The 17542-nt window shown below is 41.4% G+C and overlaps 1 protein-coding gene across 14 annotated transcripts in view, besides 1 other annotated feature; it reads right to left on the bottom strand.

The window, feature by feature from the left end:
* The window catches only part of FBXO34 (F-box protein 34), a 171629-nt gene that overhangs the window by 89118 nt on the left and 64969 nt on the right, over positions 1-17542 (bottom strand). For 9 of the 14 annotated variants that reach the window (XR_007064026.1, XR_007064028.1, XR_007064027.1 and 6 more), the window contains exon 2: positions 1062-3551. Coding sequence is in view for 5 of the 14 variants with exons in the window: in XM_017021391.2 (XP_016876880.1) it covers positions 1406-3551 (2146 nt within the window). In the remaining 9 variants the exon portion in view is untranslated. Of the gene's footprint in view, positions 1-320; positions 3552-17542 lie in introns of those variants that run through there. The other 5 variants (NM_017943.4, XM_006720185.4, XM_017021391.2 and 2 more) reach the window with 1 other exon arrangement.
* Positions 4271-4320: a silencer, noted in NCBI's record as "silent region_5782". NCBI's record gives its function as "represses an Ori minimal core promoter by ATAC-STARR-seq in GM12878 lymphoblastoid cells {active_cell/tissue: GM12878}" and the evidence as "EXISTENCE:reporter gene assay evidence [ECO:0000049][PMID:35858748]".

The raw sequence follows: 17542 nt of genomic DNA, 5'->3' as shown, positions 1-17542 counted from the left end.
AAGCACTAAGCAGCTACAGGCTTGAATAGATCCTTAGTGACTCCCAAATGATGACGCCTAGATAAGCTGTAAGAATCTCCTAGATAATACGTCACTCGAACAGGAAATACAATGGTTGTGAACAGACAACAAACGGAAGAACTGACAGGTTGCAAAAATTTAAACTTCAATGTTAAGTGAAGATGGCCTCTTCCGTGGCAGAAAAAAACACTTTATCTCCAACAATTCAAAACAATTTAAAAAATTCTTATGATTCAATTCACAAGAACCTTCTTCAACATTGTATCAAAACAGGAGAAAAAATCTTTGCAAAACTTGGGTTCCATTTAAGATGCATGTTTTTATTTAAGTTTTAAAAAATTTTGTAACCAGACAGGATAAAGTAGACAAGAATGTTATTATCTAACTATATAATATTTTCTCAATCTTGTGGATCACTAAAATATAACAAAGGATTGTTTTCTATGCTAATTTTCAGGTTGTCCAGTTAAACCATTATTTGGTATCCTTTGAGCAGGTTAGCCTTTCAACTATTTAGAGTTTCTTCTCAGAAACATTCATATATTATACAGGAAACATTCATAGTTTATTTGGGAAACATTCATATTTTATACAAGATGTACAAATTTAAGACTAGACAATTAAAAAAAAAAAACACAAAATTATAGCCGCAACACTATCCTAGCTGCATTGTGGTGATTATATTGTTCCGTTAGCTGTCCATTATATACAACTGGATTTTAATCGTGCTATTCACAGAGGGGCCAAAGCACTCATCTAAAGGTAAAGGCGCTCAGGTTTAACGTGCACTTTCATAGCCCCATGAAAACACAACCATTATATACACTGTAAACACCACAGGGCATGAAATCCACCTCCAGCCACAAACATCAATCTCACAGGATCAAGCATACGAGGTCTAAGGTGGGGTGCCTGACTTTTCTTTTTAAGAATACTTTTCATCTAAAAGTCCTGCTATTCTTTTCACAGGACAATATTCACTTATTTCAAATATGTTGCCAGTGCTCAAAACATTTCTGGAACCCATTTTTGAGGACTACCTGCAGCATCTGCAGTGAACTCTTCTGAATGTCCTGGATGGTGGTGAGTCTTCATCCTTTGAGGATGGGTTTGATTTAGGAAAACAGGCAGTTATTCACAGCCAACTGAATCCAACTGTGGGATACCACCCGGGTTCAAACATGAGATGCCACTATAAACAACAAGACCAATTTTTTTGTACAGCTCGTAAATTTAGAGTTTAGAAAATGCCTGAGCAATGCAGTCCTGATGATGTACAGATTCTTCTAGAGTGATGACTCAGGGGGCTACGCTCATTTGAACGGTGTATCTAGGTGTTTTGCAGCTTTAGAAACCGGTCCTTTTGTTGCCTCTCACATGGACTTTAGTATTCCTCTTCAGCTTCAGTCCCTTTTGCTTTCTTATGGATTGCCCGATTAAAGCTGTGGCAGGCAGGAACCCAGTGATTGTCATGAAGCCCCAGCTTACAGCCAGGGAATCCTTTCTGAGACCGGTGGCAGCACATCCAATACCCTGGCCCATAGGGCAATGCCTGGCAATAGGGCTTGGGGTGCCATCGGCACAGGGACACATCCCCTTTCACATACTTTTTCTTGCACTGTTTGCAAGGATCCTCTCTATAGCGTGGATCTCGAACCCAGCGAGAATCTGCTGGCCTGATATTGTAGTACTCAATGATAAACTTGAAATAGCAGCAGGTACATTTAAGGGCCACTAAACTCTTGGTGGGAAGTAACCTGAAGATTTTTACCATAATGTGGTGGGGCAGAAAAGCCATGTACTGCTGAGGCTCCAAAAGCTGCTGGATTTTAAACCTGGTCTCCAGGAAGTCATGCGACACCTGCTTCTTCCAACTGGATGCCTCAAGCACTGGTAATGTACTTTCCACAGAAGAGGCTGGCAGTACAAATGGCTCAGCAGACCCACTTTTTTCCTCAGATGCACTGTCACCCCCAGCAGCATCTTCAAGCTGGCTGGCCTCTGAAGACTCTTTTGTTGTGCTTTCATTCAACTGGGAATAGTCTGACAAGTGCTGACCAGGTGGCAAAAAAAACAACATCCCTGGAACTGGGTCTTCACAGGAGTTTAAAATGGAAGGCTGGTCTTTGTCTACCTTGGACACAGTGATACTAATGCACAAAGATTCTTTTCTTTGATCAGGATTTCGGCTAGTAAGGGACACAAGCTCTCTGCTCATACAATCAACAGCATCTGTGGGCAATTCAGAGGCTTGGGAATAGGTATGAGAGGAAAAAGGTAACCCAACGAGTTCATCTGTCATTTCCACATCATATCTGTTGCTGTTTTTCACGGCAGTTTGCGAACCCGGCTCTAACTCTGCACTGTCTATGTGGAAACTCACTCCTGCTGGCAATGGGGGGCAGTCCTGAGAAGCACCGTCCCAGGCCTGGTCCTCCTTAGGAGAACAACGATCAGCTCTTGAAGGGCCACAATCCACAGATACAGACCCCACAGGATTCACCTGAGTGTCAGGTGCCTCCAAGACGCCTTTCTTTGTTTTGCCTTCATCAGCCTGAGTGCTATTTGCAAGCAATACTCTGCCCACATTTCGACGGAAGCTGTTATTCCTTGAGAGGCTCCCAGGCTCACGCTGGCCCTGCCGCTTCAGGCACTCAGACTCCAACTTGGCTACCATGTCAAGGACACGGACTGGTTCGCTCTGTGGTTCACCAACCTCAAGATTTCCCCTTTCTGTGGGTTCTTCACAAGCTCCTGGGGCAGAATAGGACTCAGACACTGCAGGCACACCTCTGGATTGGCCAGAAAACCTCACAATTGCAGGTGAGTTTGTGCAGTTTTTTGAACAGCTAGCTAGCAGAGCACTGGCTCTTTGCTCCAAGAAGGCAACCATCTGTATAACTGACAGAGGCCTCCCAGCATAGACTCCATCCCCACTGTCACTCACATAGTGCACAGAACAGTGCTCAATGCCACATGCAAAAGGCTCAGGTTGGTAGCACCTGCTGTTAACCTCCCTCATCCTTTCCACCTGTACCTTGGCTTTTTTAAGATCCCCTGATTTTTTCCTTCTCTTAGTAGCTCTCCCATCAATATCCCAGGAACTTTTTATTTTCATAGATCCTATCCTGTTACTACACTGGTGGGATGCAAAGAATGCAATTTTTTCCTTGGTATTTCCAGGTTTCACAACAGCCCAGATATCAAGTGGTCCTTCTTCTTCGCCCTGGTGGATCGTTGCAGATGGTGCATTCTTTTTGGTTTTAACATTCAAGCTGCTCTCTACAGGACTCTTCCCACTCATACTGCACAGAACATTTGGAGAAAGGATCCCAAATGGCTTTCGAGATGATGCTTTACCGAGAGAGGCTGAAGGAAAGACACTTGATGTTATGTGGCTAGCTTTGCATGTTTCATCATTTACAGCCTTTTGGTGGTTCATAGGAGTTCTCTGCGTTTCCCTGCTGACTTCCGGGGGGTGCTCTTTCTTCTGGAGCTTCCAATATGGCTTTAGGTGCATAACAAAGCCCCTATAGGAAAGAAATACACATTTGATTCAGAAACCAATTTTGTTTTTAGAAAAAAATGTTTTTAAATTTAAGCTCAGATGGTTCTTAGCAACTAAGAAAAACATGTTCTACCAGTTCATTAAATCTTTACCAACTCTCTCATGATAGTTTTTACTGCACATATCAAGAATAACAAACAGCTACCAGTTTATATGGTGTGTAGTACTTTTTTTTTTTTTTTACAGAAAATAAATTGGTTTTGACTGAAGAACTTCAGAAACTGACTTCAGTTAACATTTGGTAAACTTTAACCTTTTAAATTAAAAAAAAATCTGAACTTCCTGAAAACAACTAAGTATTAGGCATAGTACAGAAGAAAGGAAAGTATAAAAAGAACTCCTCCAAGATCCCTACTAGATTTTTAAACACCCTTTCTAAATCATCACAATTCGCATTTTATTAGTTGCAAACAGCCCATCAAAATTATTGCTTCCTGGCCGGGCATGGTGACTGACGTCTGTAATCCCAGCACTTTGGGAGGACAAGGCAGGCGTATCACGTGGGGACAGGAGTTGAAGACCAGCCCGGCCAACATGGGAAAACCCTGTCTTTACTAAAAGTACAAAAATCAGCCGGGCGTAGTGGGGCGTGCCTGTAATCCCAGCTACTCGAGAGGCTGAGGCACAAGAATTGCTTTAACCTAGGGGCAGAGGCTGCAGCCAAGATCGCACACACCACTGCCCTCCAACCTGGGCAACAGAGCGAGACTTTGTCTCAAAAAAAAAAAAAAAAAAGAAAATTATTGCTTCCTAAACTATTCCCATACCACTGAATACTGAATATTTAGATGTTTACAATTTTTCATTTGCTTCCTGTGTACTTTGCCCATCTATTAGTCTTGATTTTCTAAATAATCTATGTGTAGAAACATTTAACTGTCGAATTTCCTGTAACCATCTTAAATATAGACCCTACAGTCCTTATTAATTCTAAAACCATTTTAAACTAGTTCAGAAAGATGGTGCCTTGTTTTGGTCCTTGGCCAGGGGTAGAGATGGGAGCTATTTCAGAAACGAGACAAAAAGATGATTACATGCAGAGACTAGTGTTCCAGTCCCTGCCATATCAGTGATTATCTAGACATGGTGATTTTACCTTGGGCAAGTCACTTCCTCTCTCGGTCTCAGCTGAAATGTTAACTGAGGGGCTGAAATACTAGATAACCTAATGAACTTGTCAATGTACAATTTACATAAAACAGCCCACTGCTACACAAAACACCCTGGATTGAGGAAAGAGTGTTTTCTAGGGATGGCTGGACTCCTGCAAAATAAACCTAGAAACTAAAGATCTGCAGTCCCAGTTTGGTGGGAGTGAGGCAATAGTACCTACAGGTCTAAGCACGTGAAGTTTCACCTACTCTTGCTCACTGGGACAGCAGCTGAACACATACATCTCAGACAGCTCAGTATATTCATCCTCCTTTGCTCCACATTTACTGGGTACCTGCCATATGGCAGCCTCTGTGGTAACTGATTTCAGGTTATCAGTTTTAATCACCAAGAATGAAAGTGATCGTCTGGAACAAGTTTACCTTTCACCTTCAACTTTTAAATCCTACATTCTAGTCTCAGATAAAAGAATTATGGATATTGATATCTTCTAGCCAGATAAAGAGAAATTTTGCATTTAAAGCATACAAAGTGTTTTTTAAAAGTTACCCCTGAAATAGGAGCCAGGCATGGTGGCTCACACCTATAATCCCAGTGCTTTGGGAGGCATAGGTGGGAGGACCCTTTGAGGCCAGGAGTTTGGGACCAAGTTTATTCCTAGTGATTAAAACTGGTATCTGAAAACAGTTACCATAGAGGCTGCCATATGGCAGGCACTCAGTAAATGTGGAGCAAACGAGGATGAATACACTGAGCTGTCCAAGATGTATGCTTCAACTAGGAAAGCCTGGGCAACGCGGCAAGACCTCATCTCTAAAAAAAATTTTTTTTTAATTAGCCAGGTGTGACGGCACGTGCCTGTAGTCTCAGCTAATGGGGTGGTTGAGGCAGAAGGATCTATTGAGCCCAAGAGTTTAAGGTTACAGTAAGCTATGATCACACTGCTATACTCTAGCCTGGGCAACACAGCAAGACCCTGTCTCCAAAAACAACAACAACAAAAAAACCCAACCAAACAAACCCAACCAACCAACCAAACAAAACCTTTGAAACAGATCTTATCAGGGTCTTTCTGATCTTTGGCAATTTATAGCCTAATCATCTGTAGAGATCTTCCCCCTTTCTGCACTGTGACATTTTTAATAGCTTTCTATCATTATACTGTATAGTCTTACAAATAGAGCTACCCAGAATTCAAGAACGGATGACATATAAATGAATAAAAGAGGCACACCTAGTGCTCTCTGTGCCAACTATTTTCTACATTTTCATATCCGTTCAACCCCATTCCTAAATGAAAGAAATGGAAGTGTTGAAAAACCCAATAAATTCTCACATAATGATCTCATTACACAGTATCTATGAATAAATTTAAACTTTAGCAATATGTGCGCCATTGTGCATTGCACAATATGTTCTCTTTGACTTCTTCCCCCATATATTATTTTAGGTGCTATTATTGATAGAGAGGGACATTAAAAAGAAACTAATGTAATTACAGAAGGCTTTTATTTGCATTCCAGCTTTAAAGTCAGCTCAACTAACACTTTGTGTGCAAGATTTTAGCAAGATTAAAATAGGAGGTGATCCCAGGGAACAGACGTGAGGGAAGGAAAATAGCCAGTAAGGACACACAGGGTGACTGCTGCAAAGTGGGGTGATTCTGTGAGACCCCTGAAAGAAGCAGGACATTTAGGCACCAGCTCCAATCCCTCACTGGTTGAAGGTTGCCTGAGGTTAGCCTTTCCCCATCATTTGCTGGGTTTGAGAGCCCTGAGGCAGAAAATAGAAAGCTGTTGGCAAGACACAGAGAAACTACAAAAATCTAAGTTTTGTTTGAAACCAGTGATGGCCTGAGAGGATATAATGCAGGGAGCAAAGGGCATCTGCTGCAAAAATCCATAAAGCAAAAACTTTAAATCTCCAACAGATTACAACAGATGGTGGCACTTTCCCACCCCCAAGTCACCCCCACACACAAAGGCAGGCATGGGTGGGGTAAAGCTCCAGCTAGGTTTCCATGGTTGCCAACCTCTTCATCACAATTGTATTTTAAACTGTTGCTATAATAAAGTCCTGCTCTCTTGCAATAAAGTAAAATGCAGGTTTATAGCACCTACACATCAATGTTCTTCAGATTCTCAGAAAGGCCCTTAGAAGAAATTAAGATCCCCTAGGCCCGCTGAATCACAATTTCTCAGACTGGGCCCAGAATCTGTTTTTAATGTTAGGTTGAAATTGGAAGGGACTTTAGAGGTCATGTGTTAGATCTAATGTAAGAGTAGGATTCTGGATGTGGACTGGGGTGCTGGGCTACTAACGGGTAAGGTGGAACTGCCCAACAAAATGCCAAGCAGACAGTCCATACTGAAGCATCTCATCTAAGGGCTGGGTAAAAACACACCCGTTTTCTTGATATTTTCTTTTTAAAACACAATAAACTCAACGGCCTTTTTTCTCTTAATTTCCTGGCTTCTAGAGCTGAAGGTCAAATGGCCTTTTTATTGCCAAATTCCCTCTTCAACCACCAGCTCCTCAGTTTCTTTGACATAGACTTCCCAGCTCTCTTCTTCCCCAGCCCCTAAACATCAGTGTTCTTCAGAGTTCTTTCTGTTTCTAGACCACTACTCTTCTTAAGCTATATATCTAAGTGATTTCTTGTAGTTTTAACTCAAACATTTCCAGTGACACACTCTCCCCAACTTCATATCCCACAGCCTGGTAGACATACTCACCTGGATATCAAAAAGAATCTCAAAATCAACACTACTAGTTAATGATAGCCTCAAGTATACCTAGTCCATTAAGCCAGAAGCTTGAGTCACTTAGATTCCTCCTTTCTGATCCCCACATCTCATCGCCAAGTCACTAAACTGTGCCACTCTTTATCCCTAGCACAACTGCCCTAGTCATCTCTGCTACACTGTCATCAGTTATTGGAAAACCTAACCTCTATCAATACAAGCAAAGTGCTGAGGCCCATTCCAGCCAACCTGACAGCTTTACTCCTGCTTTGCTCTACCATACTTCACACTTTGAAAGCTTGTTCACAGAACCATGACTACTAGACTAGGTAGTGAAAGCCAATTATATTAAGATACAATTTGAAGGCAGCCAAGACCAAGACCATAAAACATGTAGCATCAGATTTTTTATACTAACCTCCAACCTACAAATGTTCATTTCCTTCTACTCATTTTTTATTTATTTAATTTCGTTCTTTCTGAGGCAGGGCCTTCCTCTGTCACCCAGGCTACAGTGAGTGGCGTGATCTTGGCTCACTGCAGCCTCAACCTCCCAGGCTCAAGCAATCCTCCTACCTCAGCTTCCCAAGTAGCTGCAACCACAAGCACATGCCACAATGGCCAGCTAATCTTTTTAAAAATTTTTTGTAGAGACAGGGTCTCACTAAGTTGCCCAGGCTGGTCCTGAACTCCTGGGCTCAGGTAAGCCTCCCACCTTGGCCTCCCAAAGTATTGGGATTACAGGAGTGAGCCACCACACCCAGCCCTACCTGTTTATTATCAGAAATGTCCTAACCGCTCTGGGCTAGACACTGGTATAAATATGAGTAAAACATAGTTGCTGCCCTTGAGACAGAAAAGCAAACAATTACAACAAATGTTATATGTGTCAGAAGGATAGCACAGGGTGCTGTGAGAGCCCATGGGGAGACGGGGAGAAGAAGGAAGAGGTATGGATGAAGAGGGAGAAGGGGACATCAGCACCAAGCTCACCTGAGGGTATAGGAACAGGTCAGAGAAGTCCTGATTTTCTAAGCTAAGCCCTGAGGGAAGATACGCAAAGTCCTAAGCCTTCAAAAGTGGATGATGCTTTTAGGAAATTCAGGTAGGTGGGAAATAAAGAGAGTCTAAGTTAAGGTGCTAAGAGTAGAGAGATGACAAGTAAATGGGTTCACAGGAATAACAAGAAGGTTTCTAACTACTGACTGAAAATGGAGGATGAGGGAGAGGAGTCAAGGATGGGTCCTCATCTATGGCTTCAGCAACTACATGAAGAGTGATGCCTCCCAGTGAGATGGCAACAGGTGGCTGAGCATACTTGGAGCAGGGGAGGCAGAGGTAAATTCACTTTAATAAATGTTGGGGTCATCATTTGACCCCATCATCATCCTGAACTCCTGGACTCAGGTAAGCCTCCCACCTTGGCCTCCCAAAGTATTGGGATTACAGGAGTGAGTCACCACACCCAGCCCTACCCGTTTATTATCAGAAATGTCCTAGCCGCTCTGGGCTAGACACTGGTATAAATATGAGTAAAACATCGTTGCTGCCCTTGAGACAGAAAAGCAAACAGACAATTACAACAAATGTTATACGTGTCAGAAGGATAGCACAGGGTGCTGTGAGAGCCCATGGGGAGAGCAAACTAACACAGGAACAGAAAACCAAACACCGCATGTTCTCACTGTGGGAGTTGAACAATGAGAACACATGGATACAGGGAGGGGAACATCACACACTGGGGATGTTGGTGGGTGGTGGGGGTGGAGGACAAGGGGAGGGAGAGCATTAGGACAAATACCTAATGCATGCAGGGCTTAAAACCTAGATGACAGGTTGATAGATGCAGCAAACCACCATGGCACGTGTATACCTGTGTAACAAACCTGCAAATTCTGCACATGTATCCCAGAACTTAAAGTAAAAAAAAAAAAAAAAATACACATACACAAAAATTAACATTGGGCTTGAGTGCCTACAAGACAGAGATATCCAGGAGGCGAAATGACTCAGGTCTGGTCAAGAGAAACAGGAGGAAAGGAAGAAGACAGTTGTCACAGAAACATTTCAATGAGGAGAAAGTTTTCTGGATAGAGATAACAACTCTTTTTCCAAAATTTTTCACAATGACCATGTATTACTTTCATAATCAGGAAAAAAAAAAAGTCTGTAAAAGGAAGGCACAGTCAGCAGCAAGGTCAAATAAAGAATTGTGCCCACTTGGTGATAAAGACCCCTGGTGACCCTGCTGTGAGGAAGTACAGTGGACAAGAAGTCAAAAGTTCATGATGGAGGGGTGACTAGAAGGTGAGAGGGTGAGCACCAACTACAGCGACTCTCTCACTAAGCTTGGCTATGAAGGACAGTCTCAACATACCTGTCAGCTTAAATCCTTTCCAGGTCTATGGGGAGATAGAATAGTGAACCAGGTATAATTTGAGCAACTTTATTCCAGTAAAGGCCCAAATCCTGCATTCAATAATTCCAGTATTCCTTTTAGACTCTAAGTTCAGCTTAAAAAAGTAAAGAAAAGAAAACTCTCACCTAAAGACAGTATACACTCCCCAAAATGAAGCCATAAAAGACAACTAAACTTTCCTTTTTAAAAAATGTACTTGGATAAATCCTAACACCTAAAGAGTCATACTAACTCTTGTCCACAGAGGGGTAAACCTGATGAAGAATCGAATGACAATACGTGGTCAGAAAAGGAGAAAGGACGATATTTCTCTTAGTGCTAATAGGAAGCCACAATATCAAAGGCAGATGCCAGTTTTCTAACTTGCTAGTCTTCAGCCTTGCTTATCAAAACAAGTTAGAAGATACGACAGTTCATGTTTCTTTCTGCTTCAGTAAAGGCACAGGAATGCTAATTCCAAAAAGGAGTCACTTATTAGCATAAGAGCCACTCTTTATTTATAAAAATCGGAGGAATAATGGCTGGGGGCATGGCTCACGCTAGTAATCCCAGCACTTTGGGAGGCCGAGGCAGGCAGATCACGAGGTCAGGAGTTCGAGACCAGCCTGGCCAACATGATGAAACACCATCTCTACTAAAAATATAAAAATTAGCCGGGTGTGGTGGCATGCGCCTGTAATCCCAGCTACTCAGGAGGCTAAGGCAGGAGAATTGCTGAATGCGGGAGGCAGAGGTTGCAGTGAGCTGAGGCCACGTCACTGCACTCTAGTTCTGGGCGACAGAGCAAGACTCCGTCTTGGGAGACCAAAAAAAAAAAAAAAAAAATCGGAGGAATAAAAATAGAATAGTATACAAAGGCCCCTTCTCATTATATAATACCTTTAGAGAGGAAAAAAGTATACAGTAAGAAAATTCATCATTTGTGTCTTAAAAACTGTAAAAGCTTCCAGAGACCATCTTATGACAGCCTTCTTCACTGGACCATTGTACAAATGATTAGCAACTTCAGCAAAGTGCTGCAGATATATATAATGAAATCCTTGTTTTTACAAATGAGGAAGCACAAATAAAGTGACTTCTGAAGCCCCACAGCTAGACAGTGGTAAAATTAAGATTAGAATTAGATAGGAAATACAGTCTCCTGGATCTATACTTTCCCCACTATGAAGGATGATATATCGAAAACCTACGATAAATTATGACGCAAATAAAATTAAATAATTCTGACAGCATCTATTCCAAGAGCTTTTATCTTTCAAACTAGGTCAGTTTTTAATAAGTGCCACATAAAACTACTACACAGAGCTGTGATGCATTATGGCAGACAGATCACATAAACCATACTAATCTAAAAGCATATAAAAGGCTGTTTCAATGGCTATTAAATTGGAAAAAATGCCAAGACCAGGAGGGTGTGAATATAGGCAGAGGCACAAGAAAAGACTTCCCCCTCCATGTCTCTAAGCACTGACAGAAAAAATGCATCCAACTCCCACAGCATGCCTTTTTTAAAAAAGGAAAAAAGGGAGAAAAAATAACCCTATCGGTCAGAAAATGCAGTATTTCTCAAATTAACTTTCAAAATATTGGGGGATGACTTTTTCGGGGAGGCAGTCCACTCCCTTTTATTTTTAGGGAATATTCTCTAAAATCAATTCATGTAACTTCTTAATTTTGCCTTATGAGGACTGGGTGGTTAGGGTTAGTGGCGAACGACAGAAAAGTCCTTTATTGTCTGTTAATGGATACTGAGTAATAGAATGGCCTTTGGAAACACATGTATGGTTTTCAAAAACTGCTCACGGCTTCCATCTTAGAATTCACAATGGGATTTAAATACAGCACCTACCTGCTTCAAAGTTATCTATAATATTGACCAAATGAAGCTAACTTCCAGAAGGTAGAGAAAGGTCTATGATAAGTTTGATGGGACAACAAAGTATCCAGAACATATTAAAAAGGAATATTGACAAGTTGGGAATGACAGCCACTACACTTTGGTTTTCTTTTGTGCTCGCAATAAATGCAACACCTAATAGTTTGACAGTATTACAAAATAGTGAATTAGTAATATTATGCAAATTTACACAGTTCCCCAGCCCACTTTTGTTGGAGTAGGGAGGGAAGAGAAGGGCCTGGAGGAAAGAACTTCTGCTTAAGCTGTTGTGAATTATTAAATAACACTTCAGGATAGAGACAAAATAAAGCATTCCATTTTGTTAAACTTAATGATGTTTAAGTTAATCCGTAGTCATTTCCTATTGCTCCTATGACATAATGCCAAACACCCACAAAACTCCAGCATATCACATTTACTGCTAAGCAGGCAAATGAAAAGCCTACCAGTGGTAAATGCCACTAGAATGAACAACAAAATGCAGATGAAACCTCATAAAAAGTTAAAGTCCAAAAAAATTAATACATTTTGAAAAATACATTGAGCATTACCAGGAAAATTTAATTTCCAAGGATTTTCAGATATTCGGAGTTCCTATTAACAACTCTCTTGCATATTTTACCTATTCTAATATTTTTTACAGAAACTGAAGGAAAATAAAACTCCTATCCCTTTGCATAGCAAACCACTACTTCCTTGAGTGGGCTGATGCTTGCTTTTACTTTGAAACCAATCATTTTTCCATATGACAAAGATCCTTTGCTTGGCCAAACTTGAGTAAGGATTCTAAACTTTCTTCTAGGCCCATCTGTGCACTTTCTCACAAAATCCAGTTTTAGCAAAAGACCCCCTCCCATCTTCAATATCTGATCAGGTTCTTCATTTTCCACCATCCCCCAGGTGATGTCTGATCACCCTGGCTTGTCTTCAGCAAGAATCCTGTTAGATGGGTTTAGCCAGAATCCCCCTTACTCCAAATGTTTCCTCTTAGTAGTTTACCTTCAACTGACCCCTATCCTGCTCCTTGCCCATGATGTATTTGGAGTTGAGCCCAACCTCTTTCCTTTGCTGCAAGACCCCGCTGCAGTGATCCCTATACTTATCGCGATGGTCCTGAATAGTCTTTTTTGCCCACCTTTAACAAGTATCAGTTTTTTCTTTAACATGTATTTTTATGTAAACATAAATTTTTTAAAAATATTTTTAAGGCAATAGCAATTTCTGACATCACTTGCAGTACTTTCAAAGAGTTGATCAGTGCTTTAATATGTGCCCTATTTGACCAAAATGTAACTCAAACAAAAGGCTCTCTCTTAAGGGATAATATTCAAGATTCCAAGGCTAGCCTTGAATCCAGTTCAAAAATCCATTATGTGTCAAATAACATTTGATATGAAAAATAAGAGTACAGCTACTAATTCTAGAGTATAAATGCAACCTGACACCGCACACATCTGCCACCACACACACAAATCCCTGGCTGGACAATGATCTTAGGCCAAGTACCTAACACATGCCACCTGGGCACAGGCTGGCCCATTAACACAGTTATACGTAACTGAATTTTAAAATGGCTTGACCCCAGGGAAAGAAAAAAAGAGGCTAAAATAAAAATTACGAGCCAGCCAGGCATGGTGGCTCACATGTGTAATCCCAGCACTTTGGGATACCAAGGCAGGAGGATCACTTGAGCACAAAAGTTCGAGATCAGACTGAGCAATACAGGGAGGTTCCCTATGTACCACCCCCATTCAAAAAAAAAAAAAAAGCCAAGCATGATGGCCTGTATTTGTAGTCCTATTTGGGAGGTGACCATGGGATTGCCTGAGCCCAGGAGTTAGAGGTTGCAGTGAGCTATGATCATGCCACTGCACTCCAGCTAGGGCGAAACAGAGAGACCTGGTCTCAAAAGCAAGCAAACGTTGGTAAAAATTCAGGATAACAAGTATTAGTGCACCAAGCAAAAGAGTTTGCTTGCAAGCCAGGCACAGTGGCACACCCCCGTACTCCCAGCAACTTGGGAGGCTGAGGTGGAAGGGTAGCTACAAGCCCAGTTGTTTGAGTCCAGCCTGAGCAACACAGCAAGACCTGGTCTCTAAAAATAATAGTTTGCTTATAGCATCAATGTAGACAAAAGACTTGGCAAGTTAAGACTTCTGTCAGCAATACTGAGTGGGAGTGAAGGGGGTGGGGAATTACTTCAGAAATAGGCCCCATAGTGTTTACCAAAGAAAGCCAAAACCACTGTCCTGCCTGCTCACCTGTTGAGTAACTATTCTTCCTTCTACCACATGCCTCTAAGATCTGCTGAACCAAGACTGAAGTAGCAGTATGTGCACTGGCTGGTTAAGGTATACTCTGTTTAGAATTACTACTTGTAAAGAAACGAGATTTATGGTCAACAGAAAACTAAAAAACATTGCTGCTTTGGTGCCTGTTTTTGTAGCTTACCAAGGCAAATTTAACTATTGGGGTTAAAAATGAGCATTCCAAGAGGTACTGTGAGAAATAAATCTATACTATAGATAAATCAATCATTGGGCACCAAGAGCCCAAACTGTAATGTTATCTGGTGTATTTGTCTTATCCTCCAAACACAACTATTCCTTAAGTACACAGAGGGAATCTTCATTGTTGTGTATTATTCTGCAAGAATCTGACAAAACTTGGAATTCCTAAAGCCATATAAAAAGGATAATGGCTTCGACAAAGGATACAGAGCACCTAGTTTCAAGGTAAAATTTGGGCCTTTGGAACCAGGTTAGCATAGATCCAGGATTGGGGGGGGGGGCAGGTGATTAAAGGAGCAGTTACAAGTCCTACCCTAGGGAAATTCCTGAATGTCAGTATATATTACTTAATATGGTTATGATCATATTGTACATACAATGTACTTTTTATCACAGGGAGACATTTTCCATATTACATAGTCTTCAAAACCAATATTGTAAATGTGTAAGTACCAGAATATATTTAACCATTCCCTCTAAACCTGGACATTGTAACATTTTCATGAATACTGTCTCCTATGCATTTAAGGGTATGTCCTTAGAAAATATTTCCAAAAGTGAAATTATTGAGTCAGAGTGTATTTTCACAACTGGATATATCTTGCCCAACCACTCTCCAAAGGGATAATGCTAATTTTCACTGCTACCAGCAAGACAAGCGTGCAAGTTTTATGGCAAGGATTTTGTATCTTAGAGAACTGGTTTTTTTGGGGGGTTTTTTTTGGCTTTTTTTTTTTTGTTTTTTTTTGTTTTTGAGATGGAGTCTCGCTCTGTCGCCCAGGCTGGAGTGCAGTGGCGCAATCTCAGCTCACTGCAAGCTCCGCCTCCCAGATTCACGCCATTCTCCTGCCTCAGCCTCCCGAGTAGCTGGGACTAGAGGCGCCTGCCACCATGCCCAGCTAATTTTTTGTATTTTTAGTAGATGGGGTTTCACCGTGTTAGCCAGGATGGTCTCGATCTCCTGACCTTGTGATGCACCCACCTTGGCCTCCCAAAGTGCTGGGATTACAGGCGTGAGGCACCACGCCTGGCCTGTTTTTAGGCCTAAGAAAAGAAACCAAGGTAGAGCTAGAGATAAAAGGTAAAAATGAGTAAGAGGAGAATAACTTGTTTTTATTCTAGAATAATAACAGCTCTAATACCTCTACAATGTTTACTATGTGCCAGGTACTGTTTTAAGCTCAAAATACCCATAAAACCCCAAGAAGTACATACTCTTATCTACAACTGTAGATGAAGAAACTGAATCAGAGATGGCTTAAGGAACTTACAAAGATCAAGGTCACAATACCCATAAAAGAAGTCCATACTCGCTGGCCGCAGTGGCTCATGCCTGTAATCCTAACACTTTGGGAGGCCGAGGCGGGCAGATCATGGGGTCAGGAGATCGAGACCATCCTGGCTAACACAGTGAAACCCCGTCTCTACTAAAAATACAAAAAATTAGCTGGGTGTGGTGGCACGTGCCTGTAGTCCCAGCTACCCAGGAGACTGAGGCAGGAGAATTGCTTGAATCCGGGAGGCAGAGGTTGCAGTGAGCTGAGATCGTGCCACTGCACTCCAGCCTGGGCGACAGAGCGAGACTCCATCTCAAAAAAAAAAAAAAAAAAAGAAGTACATACTCTTATCTCCAATTGTAGATGGAGAAACTGAATCAGAGGCAAGTTAAGAAACTTGCTAAGTTCGCACAGGAAGCATATCATAGAGCTCAATATGTGTGCGGTCAGGAGTCAAAGCCTACGCTCTTACCACTACACTATGCAATGAGGAAAGGAGATTCTGAAGGGCCCATGGCAGGGTACTCCTCAGCAAGCTTATCTTCAAGTGGTAAGTGGAGTATAAGATGTGTGACTGTGAAAGGAGGCAGAACTGTGGCTTCAGGTTCAATTCTGGATGCCTCAAGTTTGACACCTTACTTAAAATTAAATTCATTTGTTTATCAAATATTTAACTTCCCTCTAAGTGTCGGATATTGTGCTAGCCTGCGGCTTCAGCATGAACAAAACTGAGGAATTTCTGCCCTCAAGGCACATTTGAGAGAGATGCATCAATTCCTTAGTCTTTTCATTTCCAAATCTGTAATTTTCTAATGTATTGAAATCAACTTAGCAATAAAAGCAGCCATCATTAGAAACATTCAAGTTTTATTTTTGGCAAAAAGAGACTTCAAAAATTGAATATGATAGTCTTGAGCGGAGGCCTGAGGACGATGACATTATCAAAGAGTAAGGCTGGTACAACTATACAGAACACATGGAAGAGAACATGCACAGATATACTGTTGTGGTGTCAATTTATAACGGATTTATTTACAAAAAATTGTTCCATAGAATGAGAAATGCTAGAGAATAGAAGAAAATAGCATTAAAATATAACCATAAGCATGGACCAGGTGCAGTGGCTCATGCCTGTAATCCCAGCACTTTGGGAGGCTAAGGTGAGTGAATCCCTTGAGTTCAGGAGTTAGAGACCAGCCTGGGCAACATGGTGAGACCCTGTCTCTACTAAAAATACAAAAATTAGCCAGGCACAGTGGTGGACATCTGTGGTCCCAGCTACTCAGGAGGCTAAGGCAAGAGGATCTCGAGTCCAGGAGGTGGAGGTTGCAGTGAGCCAAGATAGTGTCATTGCACTCTAGCCTGGGCGACAGAGTGAGACTGTCTCAAAAAAAAAAAAAAAATAAAATAAAAAAAAGAGTGAAGAGACCTACCAACCAAACACACCACATAGGATTCTGAGTCAGACAGACCATAAAATAGTATATATGTGTGTGTGTGTGTGTGTGTGTGTGCGTGCATGTATATATTCTATATGTGTATAGCATTTTTTTTTTTTACATTTCTGGGAAGTTCTCAAAATGTGTGTATGCATTTTTGAGTCCTCATCTCTTACAGATACATCCTGAAATACTTTTAGATTAAATGATATAATGTCTGGGATTTCCTGCAAAATAAAATGGGAGAAAAGAAATGGTTGGGAGTATTGAGCAAACAAGACTGGCTATGAGATGATCAACTGCTGAAGCTGCATGATGGCTAAGTGGGGGGTTTCTCACTACTATTTCTGTACATAGCTAAATTTTTCCATAATTATTGGTTTTTAAAAAGGAGAACTAAACAAATGGGAGCATGTGGAAAACACTGGATGAATGAGCCTTAAAATGTTCATTATGTACATACAGTGTAGACCCACAAACTGTCCGATTTGGAGTTAGGAAACTGGAATTCAGTGGTTCCCTGGGCCAGGCAGCTCTGCAGGGACTGATCTGAA

The sequence above is a fragment of the Homo sapiens genome, chromosome 14 (genome assembly GCF_000001405.40).
Source record: "Homo sapiens chromosome 14, GRCh38.p14 Primary Assembly".
NCBI classification, from domain to species: Eukaryota; Metazoa; Chordata; class Mammalia; order Primates; family Hominidae; genus Homo; species Homo sapiens.
Note: the sequence above shows the minus strand (reverse complement) of the source record. Positions and strands in the feature narration are given on the sequence as shown.